Source organism: Homo sapiens, chromosome 3 (genome assembly GCF_000001405.40).
Source record: "Homo sapiens chromosome 3, GRCh38.p14 Primary Assembly".
NCBI classification, from domain to species: domain Eukaryota; kingdom Metazoa; phylum Chordata; class Mammalia; order Primates; family Hominidae; genus Homo; species Homo sapiens.
The window spans coordinates 175,266,402-175,284,241 of record NC_000003.12 but is presented as its reverse complement, the minus strand read 5'-3'; the positions used below and the strand labels follow the sequence as shown (position 1 = coordinate 175,284,241).

Genomic DNA, 17,840 nt, shown 5'->3' with positions numbered 1-17,840 from the left:
ACATATGCACACCAGCACAAAAGCACATTTAAAGCAAGACAGAAAAAAAAAAAAACACAGTGTAAAGGAAAAAAATTATCCTTTGCCATTTTCTTTTCCATTTCCAGGGCATTCCAGTTCCATTTACTTATAACTGTGTTTCTTCTTCAAACTACACTAATATTGTTGGGAAGAAACCCAATCGATTTCAGCAAAGACACGAGTTTTTTGATAATGGGACCGGTGAAGTTTTGAGGGTGCAAGGATAAATTTAAATTATTTTTTTTCCTGTTTATAAAAAGCAAATAGAACATTTTTGTCCTCCCTTCTTTCTTTAATGGGTTTCCTTGAGACATAGTGAATCTGAGGCCTTCCTTGAGGAAGATTAGAACGTTTGGTATAGAGATAAATCTCTCTAGTGATTAAGCTCATGTCCAGATTTTATGATGTAGAACTATTTTCAATGTGGTGGCCAAATAACCACTGGATATATAAAAAACACACTTCTGGAATTAGTTCAGGGGTCTCTCACAAGCCGCACAGGAACCTGATATCAGGTGCAGACCCTCATCCCTTGAGCACATAAGAAAAGCTACTGTTATTTCTGCTTTGTTGTATGGAATGTGAGGCTTTACCATAACTTTATGTTGAATTCATGCTACCTTAACTGCAAATAATGATGTTAATGTGTACAGAATGATAAATTATTTTTTTCTTTTCATAACATTGCTACGGAGGGCTCTTTATGTTGGTAGGATTGTTTAGTTTCCCCAACAGAAGGAAGAAAACTGCCATAAAATGAGTGCCAAATGCATGTCAGACCTGGCTAACAGAACAAAAACATTTTGTAAAGAACATTGAAAAAACTGTTAATTTCACAAATTCTATTATTTTAGGTAGTCTAAAGGGTAACAGCAAATACAATGGTATCCTGAAGGTAGAAAATGCAAACTGCAGTCAATCACATTTGATTTGAGATCCATGCTTCTTTGTGCTTCCTGCCTACCTGGTCACTCGGTAAACGGAAGAAGATGGAAAGAGGTGACCGTGCAGTCTTTAGTATATTGTAAACTTAATCTTAAAATATTAATGCACATAGATATTGAGTATATCTGAATACTTAGAAGAGTGTTATCAAGTTTTAGAAACAATTTGAGACCATTTCCCTTAGATAATTATCAATGCTGGAACAAACATTGTGTCTATAATACTATATGGTCCTGATTTTTTCAAAGTTAAAAGTCTTGTTGTTACTGATCATTGTCATTGCTGTTAATAATACTTCCAACAAGGAGCATTTCTGCTAGTGAACAAATCCCAAATAATTTGAGGATTTAAAAAAAAAAAAAAAGAAGACAGAAAGGTAGTTACCAAACCAGATGTAGTATCTGTATACTTCATTCTTGAAAGTAGATAAAAATAAAATAAAAATTAAAAGTTGACTCGTAAAACCCAAGGACATGGAGACAGAAGCTTAAAGGAAACAAGATTGCAGAACTGCATAATGATCCCTGCCCCCTCCAACTACTGAAGGTTCTCCTTCATTAAGTGCTGCTGAGTTGTTGAATAAATGTAATAAATATTACTCAAACTTTCCTTATAAAAACTTTTCATGCATCTGGTGATCCTTAAGGTAGCTAGGCCTTCCAGTAGAGTTTGGTGGGGGTTGGAGGGCAGGTGACAGGTAGATAGGTGAGAATTTGAAGAAGTTCTTTCATTTTTTTCAAAGTTAGTTTACTTTTATTCAGATGATATTCTTTTTACTCCCTCCCTCTTCCTCTTTCTCCTTAAGGCATTTAAGGAAATTTAAAGGCTGTTACTGTGGTTTTAAAATTGTAAAAGCAGCTGATGTCACAGGATTTTCCAGTGATACAGAACACCTATATAGCTGTAGTCTGTTAAGTGTTCTTTAAAGCAGACAAAGAATTGAAAATTTTCTCTGACCAGCTTTATCAAGTAACAGAACAGTAAAGGATAATTGTCTAGTAACCCCACTCATGCTATAATCATCACATATTGATTTGGGTTAATTGTAGATACATAAGTCAGGTTTTAGGGCTTTCTAATTAGTGAAGTATAGAAAAAACTGTTTCAGTCTTTTCATTTATTTATTCATTTGTAAAACATTAAATTTTTACTATCTGGTAGTATTTATTATAAAATAATTCAATCATAAAATATTTTAAGGAGAATTTTAGGTAACTAATCATTCCTTAATTTTGGTGAAGTATAAAACATGATCCCTATATTAATTCATCATGTAGAGATGCAAATAATATGTGTGAAATAATAACAAAACATGAGAACAGTTGAATTTTAAATAAAAGATCCAAGTCAGCTTAAATAGGGAAGTCTTAAGAAGTGAATCTTAAAATAACTCATAAAGTATTTTGTTAAGTGACAGAGAAGAAGTTGAGCATTCCAGATGGGAAATGAAATAGAAAATATTTGGGAAACAAGAGTAGAAAAATATTCTTTGTATAAACAAAATTGAAATATTCATAAGATACTTGTATAAACAATATTGAAATATTCACAAGTATAAATGAAGCCTTCTTGAAGGAATCTGAAAACTCAAATTCTAGAAAAAAATTTAATCGCATACATTATGTAATGTATTCATGTGAAGTCTGATAATGTTGGAGGCTTCTAAAGCATATAGGTGTTCAACTTGAAAATAACTCACTGGTACAGATACACAAAAGAGTTTGAGCATGTATATATACTGTCTTACTGAAAATCGGTTTTAATATTTTTTAAAATGTGAGGTTTATCAAATTGATCAATAAATTTGGATAAAGTGATAAACATAAAAATACACACATTGCAAAGGTGTTTTAGCCTATTATCTAAACGAATGATATGAAAAAGTGAGAGAGTTAATGGCTTACTTTAAGAATCTTATACATGGAAAATATTACTATAAGAGGCAATTAAACCTTAACTGGCAATAAAAAGTTTTAAGAATTTTCTAAGGAAAGTAACACAAAAATATATACCATGTAAAATTATTTAAAATTGGTTTATAAAGCCAGGATTATGGACGGAAGATAGTCTTAGAAAAGAAGTTCTAAAAAATAACTAAATGTATTGAGTTAATTTAAATAAGTGACAATTACCAATCCATTTATATATATATATATTTTTTTTAAGTTTTAATTATTTTAGTATTATATAAATTCAAAAGAAAAACAAAACTGAGATTCACTGCACCTCAAATGTTAATGTACACATCAATGACCTGGGGAACTTATTAAAATGCAGATTCTAATGGAAGAGGGTTGGTGTGGGCCCAGAGCTCCCAGAGCTAATGGAGAGACATTTTTCTTCATCAATGTAAAGAAAACAGATTAAAATTGCTTATTTTCATTTAAACTTATACGCTGATGTAGCATCAGGATAAAAAGATTAAAAATGGTCAAACAAGTCAACAAAAATGATTCAAAACTCCCTGTTTGGAGGGGAACAGACATCTATTCATTGTTTCAGCCAACATTTCTGAAGGGCCTCCTGTGTACTTTGCTAAGCTTTGATTATACACTGTTTGTTCATGTGGCAGAATGTGTTTAAGCCTATCAGGAACAGGAAAGAAAAATTTGAGTCTCTTAAACACAGGTTATTTTTCCATCTCATAGGAAGATTCCGAAGCAAGTGATCATAATTATTCAGTGGTAACAATATGTACTTCAAGCAGCATCTCCAATAGCTTTTGCTGAGATGCAACAACCTGCCTAATCTTATTCTCTCATTATGTCCTAGCAGGGTGCAATAGGATTTCTTCCCAACACAGTTTACTACGAATGTATAATGTAGTTGAGGAGGTTAATCACAAACTAACAACATTAAACCTTTTTTATGAGTATATTAATTTCTTGATAAAATCTTTAATGGTTTTAAGGATTTTGGTAAGGGAAGGAGGGGCAGTAAACTGCCTTCTCCTTGGTCTTTTCAAAATAGACTTTATTTTAAAAAACTAGGAAACATTTAAATCAAAGGTGTAAATGGAGGAAATGATTACATTGAGAAAAAGGAAATCGATATAAAATTGAAGAACTAGAAAGAATAGAAACTTGGCTAGCTAGTGGAATGGCAAGAAGAAACAGAAATTCCTTATCTTTTCAGTTCCAGGAAGATCAGATGCCTACCAAGAAATAAACAGATGAATGTGGGTGCTGTTTCCCAGGATCTTCTCTAAATCCAAGGGTATATTTAAAACTGTTTTTTTTTTTAAAGTGGAGTGAAAGGAAAAGACAACTTTCCAGTTTATTTATTCCATCAAGAAAGAAAAGAGAAAATCCTATTCACACAATTTCTTAACATAAATTTGCATGGCATTTTTGCTTCTAAAATTCTAGGGAAGTGCTTATCTATTCAGTGAATAATTCCCATACCCATATATTTTTCTTCAGTGCAGCCTGCAGTTTACATCTTTATTAATAATACACACACACACACACACACACACACACACACACTCACACACTATGCAGAGGATCTTATTCAGCGATTGTTGGAAAATTCAGAACCAATTTTTAAAAATCATGCTGGCCTTCCTGACATTATCACTCTAGATCATTCTTCCTGCTTCAAATTTCAGGAAGAAATAAAATAGTATGTAATATCTACTGCCATAAAAAAAGCCCAGATGGTTTGAACTAGGAATTAAAGTATGTGGTTTTAAAGAGACATAACATATGATTTTATGCCTAGAATAAAATTCAAGCTACAGATTTACTATGTGTTTTAGACCAAATGGAGATTTTTTTAAAAAAAAAACCTCATGTTTTTAATTAAAGGTATATTTTCAACCAAAAGCATCAGCACTCTACATGTGAATCCAAAATGAAAACTGTCATTAAAATCCACATTAAGGTGGTTTATCTTTCAGGCAGAATCATGAGCAGTAAATCCTTTCAGATGGTAGGACAGGTTTTCTTTTCCTAGAGCCGTTGCTAGAATATTTTAGTAATTTCAATAAGTACCTTGGCAACGATAAGGATAAATGTCTTCAGTTAGTCCAGATTAAATACCCACTTGCCCTAGGGTCCCATATAAAATGAATCCAAGATTGAGAGTTCCTTTTGCATCTGACTTGTCACTGTCAGGCGCATTACTTGTAGGGAGTAAGTCTGGTGATCCATCTACTTCTTTGAACAAAATACAGCTCTAATTGCTCTGGTAGATTTGCACATGCTTGAAAATAAACTCTTCTGAAATGAAGGATACACAAAGTGAACTTTTGCAAGAGAAAAAACCGTATGCTCACTTCATCTAGAATGTAGACCTATTACACCAAATAGCACAACAAAAATATAATCTAACTTTTAGGGAAGTTGCATTGTAAGATGATAGTCCTACAGACAAATATTTCATAAGTTTCCCTGGATACATAGATGGAATCACTACAACTTGGAATAAGAAAAAGCATGCATTTTCAAGTCCTGGATTCCAACTCTCTAAGTTCTGCCACTTATTAAACAGTGCGTTTGCAATATAATTAACCACTGAGGCCCTCCCTCAGTTTATCGACCTGCACAGTGAACATAATGCTACCTACCTTAAAAATAGGTTTGTGGAAAGGAATGCATTTAAATCATATCACATAAGTATGCCAACTGGTAGAGTCCAAAGTCACTTTCTCACCAGAAAAGAACTTTTTATAAGGAACACTTTAAAAGCAAAAAAGGAAAAATAAAGGGCTGCAAATCATCCAAAAAGTTGACACACCATGGAAAAATTTCTAATTTTAAAATCACTATGGTGAGTGTTTGCCTAATCATACACTGGCTAAGATTCCTCTTGTTCTTTTGAACTTCAAATAACATGGTTAGACGCAGGTACTCAGTGAACAAATAGGAAGCAGTTTTAGAGTGGAAAATAGAAGTTAGGTTTGGTAGTTCTCTCTGGTATATTAACTAGATGCAACTAGATGCATCCATTGTTATTAACTCATTTAACATATAATTTTTGAGACACTCCTACTGTGTATCAAGGACTGCATGGTGCTAAGAGCTGAAGATATAATAGTGGAGAACAATGAACAACACCTCTTCCTTTATGAATTTATCATGTAGTAGGGAATTCATATACCAAATAATATCACACAAATGCACTAAATTATTATTATTATTATTATTGAGACGGAGTCTCGCTTTGTCGCCCAGGCTGGAGTGCGGTGGCGCGATCTCGGCTCACTGCAAGCTCCGCCTCCCAGGTTCACGCCATTCTCCTGCCTCAGCCTCCCGAGTAGCTGAGACTACACAAATGCATTAAATTATAAACTGAGATATTTATTAAGGAAAAGGGGACTATGCAGCATTTATGCAGGAGGCTTGAAATATTCTGTGGGATCAGGGAAGCATTGTCTAAGAAAGTAACAGTAAGTGATCTGTAGTTAGCACAGAATTTGAGTAGTAAAAGAAGAGAAGAAAGATACAAGTAAACTAGAATGATAAATGTCCTGAGATAGGAGGGTAAATGGTATCTTTTAGCAGCTAAGAAGTGAAGTTATACAAGATGAATTATGCAATCTCAGATTATTTAAGGATTCATAAATAATTCTAAGCATTTTGGTCTTTATGATCAGTAAAGACCAAATGGTCTACTGATGAAAAAAATCCATTGAAGAGTTTTAAGTATGGGTTGACACAATAAGGTTTATGTTAAGAAAAGATAAATTTGGTTGTTGGATGAAGGTTATACTGGAAAATAAAAGACTACTAGATGAAGACACTGGTATCTCTGGATGTTTGGCCATTGAACTACATTAATAGATTGGTCACAGTCCTTCACTGTCCCGTATTGGTTTTTAGATCCACAGCATTACCATTACCTTACAGCTTTCAGGAAGACAAAAATGAATAAATTAGGAACTAAGTATTGATGATAATCTCATGATACAGTTTATTGCTCGTTATCAGATACGTTAGTCAAAACATGAGCACTTGTTGACACAACAGAGCTAAAATCTTAACAAACAAAAATTTTAGTATGTGGTACCCGTATATGGGTAGTAAAGATATGTTGGCACTGTAGAAGTTTTTCTAGTATCATAACATAGCCAGAGTGCAATGGGGCTAGAAATAAAATGTGAAAATCAAAGGCCAATTCCAATTTTATTTAAACATATATTTGTCTATTAAAGACATACAAAAAGTAAACCCTGACAATTTAATAAATATATTAAAATATATTGGCGTCAACATGTCTATACTCTTGGCCTCTGAGTGAGCATATTGTAAGTTTTATTTTGTTCAATTATCAGTGTTTTTTGCTAGGAGTTGCCATAAGGACGTTGACAACATCTCTTGACTAGAATTAAGTCCAGCTGTTAATAGTTAGCATATTTTTGTGCCTCTGGAATTGAGAATGGGATTAGGTGGTGAGGTGAAGTGAGTTGGGGAATAATGGGATTAGTCAAATTAGTTTGATTGCACTATTAAGATTGAAAAATGAAAGAAATGGATCTCATCTTGAAGAAAATTTAAAAAATAAATAAGAATGTATATATTTACCATTCTATTTCTATGTACTACAATTATAAAGGTAGTAGTATAATTTGAAAGGTTTTCACTTCTGCTTAGTGATTTTCACATGACTTGTGAAAATTACTTTCTTGCCATAAGCTGCTGAAAGCTATGGGGTTAGAAATACATTTGCAGGCTGGGTGTGGTGGCTCACGCCTGTAATCCCAGCACTTTGGGAGGCCGAGGTGGGCAGATCATAAGGTCAGGAAATCGAGACCATCCTGGTTAATATGGTGAAACCCAGTCTCTAGTAAAAATACAAAAAACTAGCCAGGCGTGGTGGCACATGCCTGTAGTCCCAGCTACTTGGGAGGCTGAGGCAGGCAAGAGAATCGTTTGAACCTGGGAGGTGGAGGTTGCAGTGAGCTGAGATCACGCTGCTGCACTCCAGTCTAGCAGCAGAGCGAGGCTTCGTCTCAAAAAAAAAAAAAAAAAAAAATTTGCAAAGCGACAAAAACCTTTTTAGGGCAAGAATTATTTTTTAATTGTACCACAAAGAGAAATGGCGACCTTCAGAGTTGAATAAACTTGGAAATGGATTGATTAATTCTGTTTAAATAATAGATGAAAAGTACTTTATCATAATTTTTTTTTTACTTCATGATGTTCTTATGTATACTTAGCTTATAGAAATTTTTTAATAAATGTTAATATTTTCATTAGGGTATAATTTTTATTAAAAATAAGGCCATTTTTTCATGTGGCTATAGTTTTGTAGAAATTTATTGTTTATGACTGAAGAAAAAACATTAAAATGATTTATATGATGAAAGTGCCATGGTGGTGTAACTTCTGGTGGTTAATAAGGTTACGGTCATGAATTTTAGAAAAGGAAATAGTTTTAGGAGTTTTCTTACTATCATTATTATAAAGCTTAAACTTATTATAATTATTATATTAATAATAATAAAATGAGTACTAATTTTTTGTTGGATGCCTGGGTATAGATAGTACTTAGAGTTTTCATGCATTACCCTATTTGTTCTTTGCATTTTAGGGTTAGAAAATGTCAACATTTTATATTGGTTAAATTTTGAGCTCTTACTAATATGCATAAAGACACCATATGGGCAAGAGGTACATATAAGACAAGTGTCCTCAAGACACTTGACTTCCATCTGGCTAAAATTTGTCATAATACAGTCATTTTGTTACAAGGAGACAGTTTACTGCCATCTGCCTGTAAATGGTTGTTAAAAATACACAAATTTCTGATGTCTATGTTGTGAATGTTGCCCCATAAGATACAAACTGCATGGCCCGCCCAACTACATAAAATGGTCCAGATGTGTATAAATGAAAAGGCCATGTGAGATTTTAGTTTTCTGAAAATATGTAAGAAAAAAAAGTCTTGATTAATTTTTAAGAATCTTAAGATCATCCTAAAAACATTAAGAAATCCTAAAAACATTAAGAAAGTCACTTATTCTATATGAATATATATTCTTTATCAAGCTATTAGGATGGACATTCTTAGAAATTGTCTGGGTTTACTTTTTGTATGTCTTTAATGGGCAAATATCTATTTAAATAAAATTGGAATGGGCCTTTGATTTTCACATTTTATTTCTACCCCCCATTGTACTCTGGCTATCTCATGATACTAGAAAAACTTCTACAGTGCCAACATATCTTTACTACCACCAAAATTCAGAGTTAACTTTAGTCAGTAAAAAGTACCTGAGCACTGAAGAACAATTCAGATAATAAGGTGAAATAATGAGTCAGAAATAGCTGGTGTTTCACATTATACCTCTTAGAATTCATGAGTGTTTACTTTGTAGTATTTGTCTTCCTGACAAGTTTTTTTCTCAATTAAGGGAATAACGCCTTTTTGTGAAATATCTTCAAGAGCAGGAAAAGAATAACTATGTCAATAAAATGAAAATATAACTCTAAATATGTAAAAAATATGGGCCCAGTTCACCTACCCTTGCTTGAGACAAAGGGCTTCTGTTATCTTGAAGAGGTAGCTCACCTTCAATTCACTAACTGAACACTTTGTGGAAAATATTATTATATTAATTTTACAAAGGAATAAATGAACTTGTAGGTGAAGTAATTTTCTTAAGGTCATAGGTTGAGCAATGATTAAAGACCCAAAATGACTGACTCCAGAGCCCAAGCCATTGAGCACTAGGTTCCCTTTTCTCACTGGTTAATTCTGATAGGCTGAGCATTCTGAAAGGAAGAAGCAAACTGGGGCATGTTAAAACAAAATAAAGAAGTGCACATAGCTCACTAATGTTTTGAAATTTGACTATTTAGCTGCTGAATAGTTGACTGACATTAAAGTTTGAAATGTAAAAGACTGTCTATGTAATATGTATTTATTTTACTGTCAGGTAGTTTTTTGTTGTAATGTGATATGGTTTGTTCAAATCTCACCTTGAATTGTAATAATCCCCACGTGTCGTGGGAGGAAGCCCTTGGGAGGTAACTGTATCATGGACGTGGGATTTTCCCATGCTGTTCTCATGATAATGAATAAGTCTCATGAGATCTGACTGTTCTATAAAAGGGCAGTTCCCCTGCACACACCTTCTTGCCTGCTGCCACAAAGACGTGTCTTGCTTCCCCTTCGCCATCTGCCTTGATTGTGAGGCCTCCCCAGCCACGTGGAACAGTGAGTCAATTAAACCCCTTTTATAAATAAATTACCCAGCCTATTCTTTATTAGCAGTATGAGAACAGATTAATACAAAATTATATGCTATTATTCATATTTTGTGAAACATTTCTACTTAACTGCATTAATCAAAAAACAGTTTACTTAAAACATTGAAAAAAAACAAAGAAATGTCTCTTATTTAAGAAACTTAACGATTTTAATTTGTTAAAAAATTTAAAAACTGTAACAGCAATGCATGTTCTTTTGTAAGTTACTTTGAATAAACCAAAATGCAAAAAGGAGAAAATAATAAAAACCACCTATTTATCCATAATAGATGTATATCTAAAACAAAATGTGGTTAAAATATAATTTAACACACACACACACACGCACACACACACACATGCACACACATATTCTTTATGAAATACTCTTACGTTAGGGTTAAAAGAGAATAAATTGTCATTTTTTTTCTATTTCCTTAAACAACAATTTGATTTTTGCAAGTTTTACCTTTTTATTATCTTAAAATCGAAGAATTAAAGTATTTAAGTATTTAATTTCTAGTATTAAATTTAAGAACGTATAATACATAAACTCTGTTGGTAATCTTTACTAAATGAATGAAGAATGGAAGATACTAACATGGAAGGTAACCTAGAGTAGCAATTGAAAAATCCTTGGTATTGGTTCAGAATAAGATATTTTCATTATAATAGAACACTTTAAAATGAAATACTTGTAGAAAGATAAATTGCCTTGGTTACTTGCAAATATGCTACCAAATTAATATCTGGTGAATAAGGAAGGTCAATTTGTCATGTCTGTAGGCATATGTGTGGAGATAAATTGTAAGAGAACATAAATACACAAACAACTGCAGCATTCTATGAAACACTTATATTGCAACCTACAATAAGCATTCATGTTCATATATATTCATAAACCTAGAGGCAAATTATAAATAATGTTGCTTCCATGAAACCTAATGTTTTGCAATTAGAAATGAAACATATATTAAAATAATTAAATAGGACTCTAAAATTACATAAACTTGATTTTAAATGGACTAAATATTTAGTACATCAATGAAAAATACTCAAGATTAAATATAAATCGGATTTTGTTCCTTTTATCTTGATTTGTAGTTTATCTGCATGTTATTATTGCCATTAATATGTTATTGCTATATTGCCATAATTATATTTATTTTTGCTACAACTATTTTAATCTTTGATTTTCCCTTCTATTAGAAAAGGTTATACTTAAAAGTAAAATATCAGGTTCCTTACCTTAAGTCAGATAAATAACCCAAGATAACAGATTAAATAACCTACAGCTTCAGGTTTTTGTAGACCCAGAATTATCTCATTTGATATGAGAAATGGGAAGTATATTATATGATTTTCAAATCTTTTCAAATTTATTGTCTACATTAAAAAATAATAATTTAAACTATTTTGTGGGATAGAGAGGGCTGTACCTGGGGTGACATATTATAGCATAAGTGAGCCTCTCAAACCTCAATATTTATCTGATGTCAAATGTAGCCGGTTCAATGCATCATACATTTGTGTGATTGAATAAATTGCTTAAAGCAAATTTCACATTAAGATGATAAACATGGCTATTAACAGAAATCAGGGTCTATGGTAATCAGTTCCACTAAACCAATTAATCTTAACTCTGTCACAAAGATTCCTTGAGACCTACACAGTCCTCATTTTTAAAATAAAGAATAATACTCACTTCACATAATTTTCTTGGGAGTTTAATATGATAAACTCATTTTCTTAACAAAATACCAACAAAATTTTCTTTGTTTCTTTTAAATAAAGATGCTTGTTAGACAGATGCATTTCTGGAGCAGATTTTTTAAAAAGTATAGAATTTGCCATAAGTTAAATGAAAATGTCTAACATCTTCTCTCTTACTGGAATGAATTGAATTAGTCCATCGATGTCTAAAAATGACAAACTCCTTAGTCTCTTAGGTCACAAAACCATCACTAATATGTGGTAACGTTCTGGGCTTCTTACTTTTTGTTTGGAAGTTTTCTTCTTACCAGGGGCTAACGTGATCTAAAGAGAAGGGTGGATGGCTAGTATGCAACATATACTAAATATACCTAATTAATTTTAAAAGGAATCAGGAAATATTATATAATTCATTAGATATTCTAGAATTTCTAAAAACAGACAGGGACAGCCATCTTTGGAAGTTTTTCCAGTATTTAATCAGTCTTATTTTATAAGATTATTTATGGGTAATCTTAATATACTTTGCACAATTTAAGTGGCGGCTTTTTAATTTAATTTAATTTACTTTGAGACGAAGTCTCACTCTGTCACCCAGGCAGGAGTGCAGTGGCACGACCTCGGCTCACTGCAACCTCTGCCTCCCCCCTTGTTCAAATGATTGCCCTGTCTCAGCCTCCTGAGTAGCTGGGATTACAGGCGTGCGCCACCACACCCGGCGAATTTTTGTATTTTTAGTAGAAATGGGGTTTCACCATCTTGGCCAGGCTGGTCTCGAGCTCCTGACCTCAGGTGATCCACCCACCTCGGCCTGCCAAAGTGCTGGGATTACAGATGTGAGCCACCACACCGGCCTAAGTGCCTATTTTATAGCTTTAACTTTTGCAAAAATTGGAAAAGGTCCTAATTTTATAACCCACAAATACTCTTTCATGTGCATGAAGACTGTGCTTGACTTTCTTCTCAGGCTTTTTTTGTAACAGATTTAAAAACTCTCAATTAAATAATTCACGTTTTCCTAATCCATCAATTTTTTTTAAATCTATTTCTAAATTTATTCTATCATTTTAAAATAGAGCAAACCAAACCAAACTTGATAATCTACCAATAAACAATGCTTGGGAAAAAATTATTTTTCCACTTTTGTATATCTTTTTCTTTCTCTAAGATTAAATCAGTAACTTTTGTTTTCTTCTTTGATATCCTTATGATTCTCATAGACTTTGCTGCTCTATTGCCAAACTACTCATATCCCCCTGTTACTGTGAAACTTGGTGAAATTCCTCAGGGATTTTGAGACATCAAAGCAGTAAGTAAATGTGCATGCCTATTCATTAAGAACTCCTTTATACATATATGAATTTTTAAAATGTGTTTTAATAAAAATAAATACAGAATGAAAAACTAACCCTTAATCCCAAACATATTTCTTATAGGCCTATTTAGTGCAATAAAATAATCCTGTCATTTTCAATTCATTTACTCACAAACTATTTCTTTTTGTGAGGATTTTGTTGACAGCACAGTAAAATCAGTACTATACTGGAAGAGGTTTACAGAGGCCCAGCAGGCACTTTTCACTTTTTCCATTAAACATTCCATATGCATCCATCAAGTCATTACAGTATTCCACATATCTGTCAACCTTTGCCAGGCTATCACACACAAGCACGCACCCTAAGACGATTCTTATGAAATATTCATAAACATTTTCAAGTTACAAATTCTTCTCATTCAAGATAAGATTTAATGGCAACATTTTCCCGGAGAAGTTAATGAGAACTCTTTGCTCATAATAAATGAGCTCCGATATACAATTGCCCTGTGGTTTCACCAGCACTCTGGTTGGGAACAAATTCAACAGCAATTCACATTCAGCATTCTTTTGTTTAGGTGCCTGAGGCTATGTCTCCCTGGCTGTCAGTAATCTGATAAAAATATAAAAAATCAGTCAGTTTGGATGAAGAGTGATTTAACCGTAATGACCATATCCAACCTACTAGTTGATTTTTACCATACTCTGCAGGGAGAATATCAAGTGATATTTTTCACCCCTTAAGTCAAGTTGGGCTTTGGACAGCTAAATTGGTGAGTCTGAATCCTCTGATTAGTATGCTTGATTGACTAAGGGCAGAAGTGGACTGAAACACTCTCCACATAAATGAGAAATCTTGTCCAAATTGAAAGCATGTATTGTAACCACTCAATCAGCTCCCATGGGGGAAGCAAATAAGCTAAATTAATGCTAAAATGGTTAGAGGCATTTTCAGGCAGTTGTTGGGAATCCTGGCTGCTTTTCCCCCCACATTTATTTATTTTGAAAATTTTTATTTTAAGGATTTTAATAGAAATGAAAAATATAGTATGATAAATTCTCACATATTTATTACCTGACTTCACCAGTTATTAATTTTCTTACATTTCCTTTATCTTTCTCTGTGTATCTCTCTCATTCTGAACCATGTGAAAGTAATCTGAAAACATATTTGTTTGGTAGTAAAGAACCATGATTGAAGGCACAATGGTGCTAATACTGAGAGAAGCTATCTTAAATATTTATTCATAAACACAAATAAATAAACAAACTGCGAGGATCATAAAGAGCCCTAGGTTTGGAATAACAGCACTAGCTCTCTGAAAAATAAATGTACAACATTGGATAAGACATTCAAACTCCCTGAGAAGCAGTTACTTACCATACAGCAGTGACCATCCTACTTATACAGGAATTTTTAGGAAGATAAGGAGTGTTTACCTGAGAGTGTGTATCTGAAAGTAAACTAGCGTCATACAGACAAAGTCGTGGCTCCGCACAGGTCATTTTGGTCAAGGAATGATCCCGTACACAACAGCGGTCACGTAAGATTATAACGGAGCTGAAATTTTCCTATCAGCAAGTGACATCAGAGTGTCCTAACGTTGTAGTGCAACATATTACTTACATGTTTGTGGTGATGCTGCTGTCAACAAACTTACTGCCCTGCCAATTGTATAAAAGTATAGCACATGCAATTATGTACACACTTGATAATAATCAACTATATTAGTGGTTTGTGTATTTACTATACTATGTATATTTTTGCTATTTTAGAGTGTACTTCTCCTACTTATATATAAAATAAATTTTGGTCAGGTGCTGTGGCTCACACCTGTAATCTCAGCATTTTGGGAGGCTGAGGGGAATGGATCACTTGAGGCTAGGAGTTCAAGACCAGCCCGGTCAACATGGTGAAATCCCGTCTCTACTGAAAATACAAATATTAGTCAGGCATGGTGGCACACATCTGTAATCCTAGCTACTTGGGAGGCTGAGGCAAGAGGATCGCTTGAACCTGGGAGACAGAGGTTGTAGTGAGCTGAGATCATGCCACTGCATTTCAGCCTGGGTGACAGAGGGAGACCGTCTCAAAAAAAAAAAAAAAATTAAATAGTTAACTGTAAAACAACCTCAAGTCAGATCTTTCAGGAGGCATTTCAGAAGAAGGTATTGTTATCATAGGAGATGACAGCTCCATGCATGTTACTGTCCCTGAAAAACTTCCAGTGGGACAAGACATGGAGGTGGAAGACAGTGATACTGATCCAGACCCTGTGTAGGCCTTGGCTAAAGTGTCTGTGTTTCTTAGTTTTTAACCAAAAAGTTTAAAAAATAAAACAATAAATAAAATTTTAAAAATAGAAAAGGACTTCTATAGAACAAGGATATAAACAAAAATATTTTTGTCAGGTGTGCAATGCGTTTTAAGCTAAGTGTTAATTACAAGAGTTGAACAGTTTAAAAAAGTAAAAAGTTCATAAAGTAAAAAAGCTATAGTAACATAAGATTAATTTATTATTAAAAAGAAAAATATTTGTAAACAAATATACTGTAGTCTAATTGTAAAGTGTTTATAAAGTCTACAGTAGTGTTTAATAAGGTCCTAGGCCTTCACATTCACCCACCACTCACTCACTGACACCTAGAGCAACTTCCAGTCCTGCAAGCTCTACTGACGCTAAGTGCCCTATACAGGTATACCAGTTTTTGTCTCTTATATCATATTTTTACTGTACTTTTTCTATGTTTAGAGATGTTTAGATACACAAATACTTACTACTACATTATAATTGCCTGCAGTATTCAGCATGGCAATATCTGTATTCTGGGAGCAATAGGCTATACCTTATAGACTAGATACGCAGTAGGCTACACCATCTAAGTTTGTCTAAGTACACTCCATGATACCAGCACAACACCAACAACAACAACGAAATCATCTAATGAGGCATTTCTGAGAATGTATCCCCTTTGTTAAGTGATGCATGCCTGTATTATTCAAGTAACTATGTTTTAAAACACCTTCAGTGAAAGTAGGAACTGTTCCTTACCATGGTTACAAAACAATAACAATATAATAAATGTTTATTGAGCATTTACTAAAGGCTAGGTGATATGAAGACAACACTATCATTACACTGGTTTTACAAGGACAAAATGAAGTCTTAGAATGTTTAAAAAGTTTGACCACTGACTTACAGCAATTAAATAGTAGAGCTGGGACTCAAATCCCATATAATTGTTCAGATTCTCTACTCATGGGATGTGAGGTTGGAAATTCATTTTAAGTATAAACAAATGTGGACAGGGAGACCTCTCATGTACACGTGATGCAAATGTACACATGAAGACCACTCATGTCAGAACTGTAAAGAATGTCTCTAGGTACCTCTTTTTGCCCCCACTCCCATCACCCCAGATATTATATTCTCACCCATTTTCCAATGTGAAGCATACTAAATTAGTATTATCCTGATATAAACTGTCTTTTTAAAAAGAAAAACTTTAGACAAAATAAATTTAACAGAGTTTATTTGAGCATAAAAGGATCTATGAGTCAGGCATTACTCAAAACTGAAGAAGGTTTGGGGAGCTCTGAGTTAGCAATGTGAACAGAGGGTTTTTATAAAGCTGAATGCAGAGGTAAAAAAAATAAATTACTTAATTGGGTACAACTAAGCATTTGCCTTATTAGGGTGTGTTCCTTATTTTTAAACTGGATTGGAGCTACATGTTTTATAATCAATTAGAGCACACAATTTATAAAGCCACTCAAAACAAAGGAAAAATCCTACGTATTTAGTGATTCATAATAAGATTTTCTTAAAACCACAAGGAAAATACTTTTATATATGTTTTGCCTATAACCTTCTGTAGAAGTCACAGAAAACTTCTCAGTAAGGAAAGATTTGAAATAGCTACAACAATGCTTGCCTGCCTGTTATATTAATAGTATAATTGGAAGAAGGGCCAATTGAATTTTAATTGATCAATTAGCACACTTTTTTTTTTTTACTAGTTTTACTCTAAAGCTAAGAAAGCTTTGAACTTTTAAAATTTATAAAACCAATCATAAGGTTTGATAATAGCCAAAATGTAAGACAAAGCAAAGTATCAAAATTGTCCTTTTTAACAGAACAGGAATACAATATTGGATTATATCACAGGTGTTTTAATATCCATAATACCTTCACCAGGTTGTACTATTATTTAATTATTGATATGCTATTATTATTATAAACAAAGAAGTTATATTAAGACAATCATTAATGTGGGTATTGGAAAAATGTTAGGCAAGCATGGCTTGTTGGAACTATAAGAGTTATTTCTGAATTTCATTCTATGACTCATGTTTATATATGACGAAATTTACCCTACAACTTCCTGAAAATTATCTTTGTATAAGAATTATAAAAGGAGTTTAATAGGAGTATTTTATCTACTTATGAAGCCCAAGCACACTAGCTCTTCACTGAATGGTAGGGAATAGTCATTTTAACAAGCTAACAAAGTAATGAGATTTAGATTGAAACAAAAGGGAAATTAGAACTAAATCTTGAAGAATAAATATAACTTTATCTAAAGGATTTTCTGGTGGTTCTTCCTTAATTATGAATATTAGGCAAAATTTAAGTCTTCTATTGTAC

General features: G+C 33.1%; 1 protein-coding gene and 1 long non-coding RNA gene across 24 annotated transcripts in view; one reads left to right on the top strand and one right to left on the bottom strand.

Moving 5' to 3' along the window:
• Window positions 1-17,840, bottom strand: part of NAALADL2 (N-acetylated alpha-linked acidic dipeptidase like 2) — a 1,369,567-nt gene that overhangs the window by 526,307 nt on the left and 825,420 nt on the right. The gene's annotated exons all lie outside the window — the stretch shown is intronic.
• NAALADL2-AS2 (NAALADL2 antisense RNA 2) overlaps window positions 13,146-17,840 on the top strand; it is a 36,005-nt gene continuing 31,310 nt past the window's right edge. Inside the window, exon 1 of the long non-coding RNA NR_046713.1 lies at window positions 13,146-13,185. This is a non-coding gene — a long non-coding RNA (NAALADL2 antisense RNA 2). The remainder of the gene's footprint in view (window positions 13,186-17,840) is intronic.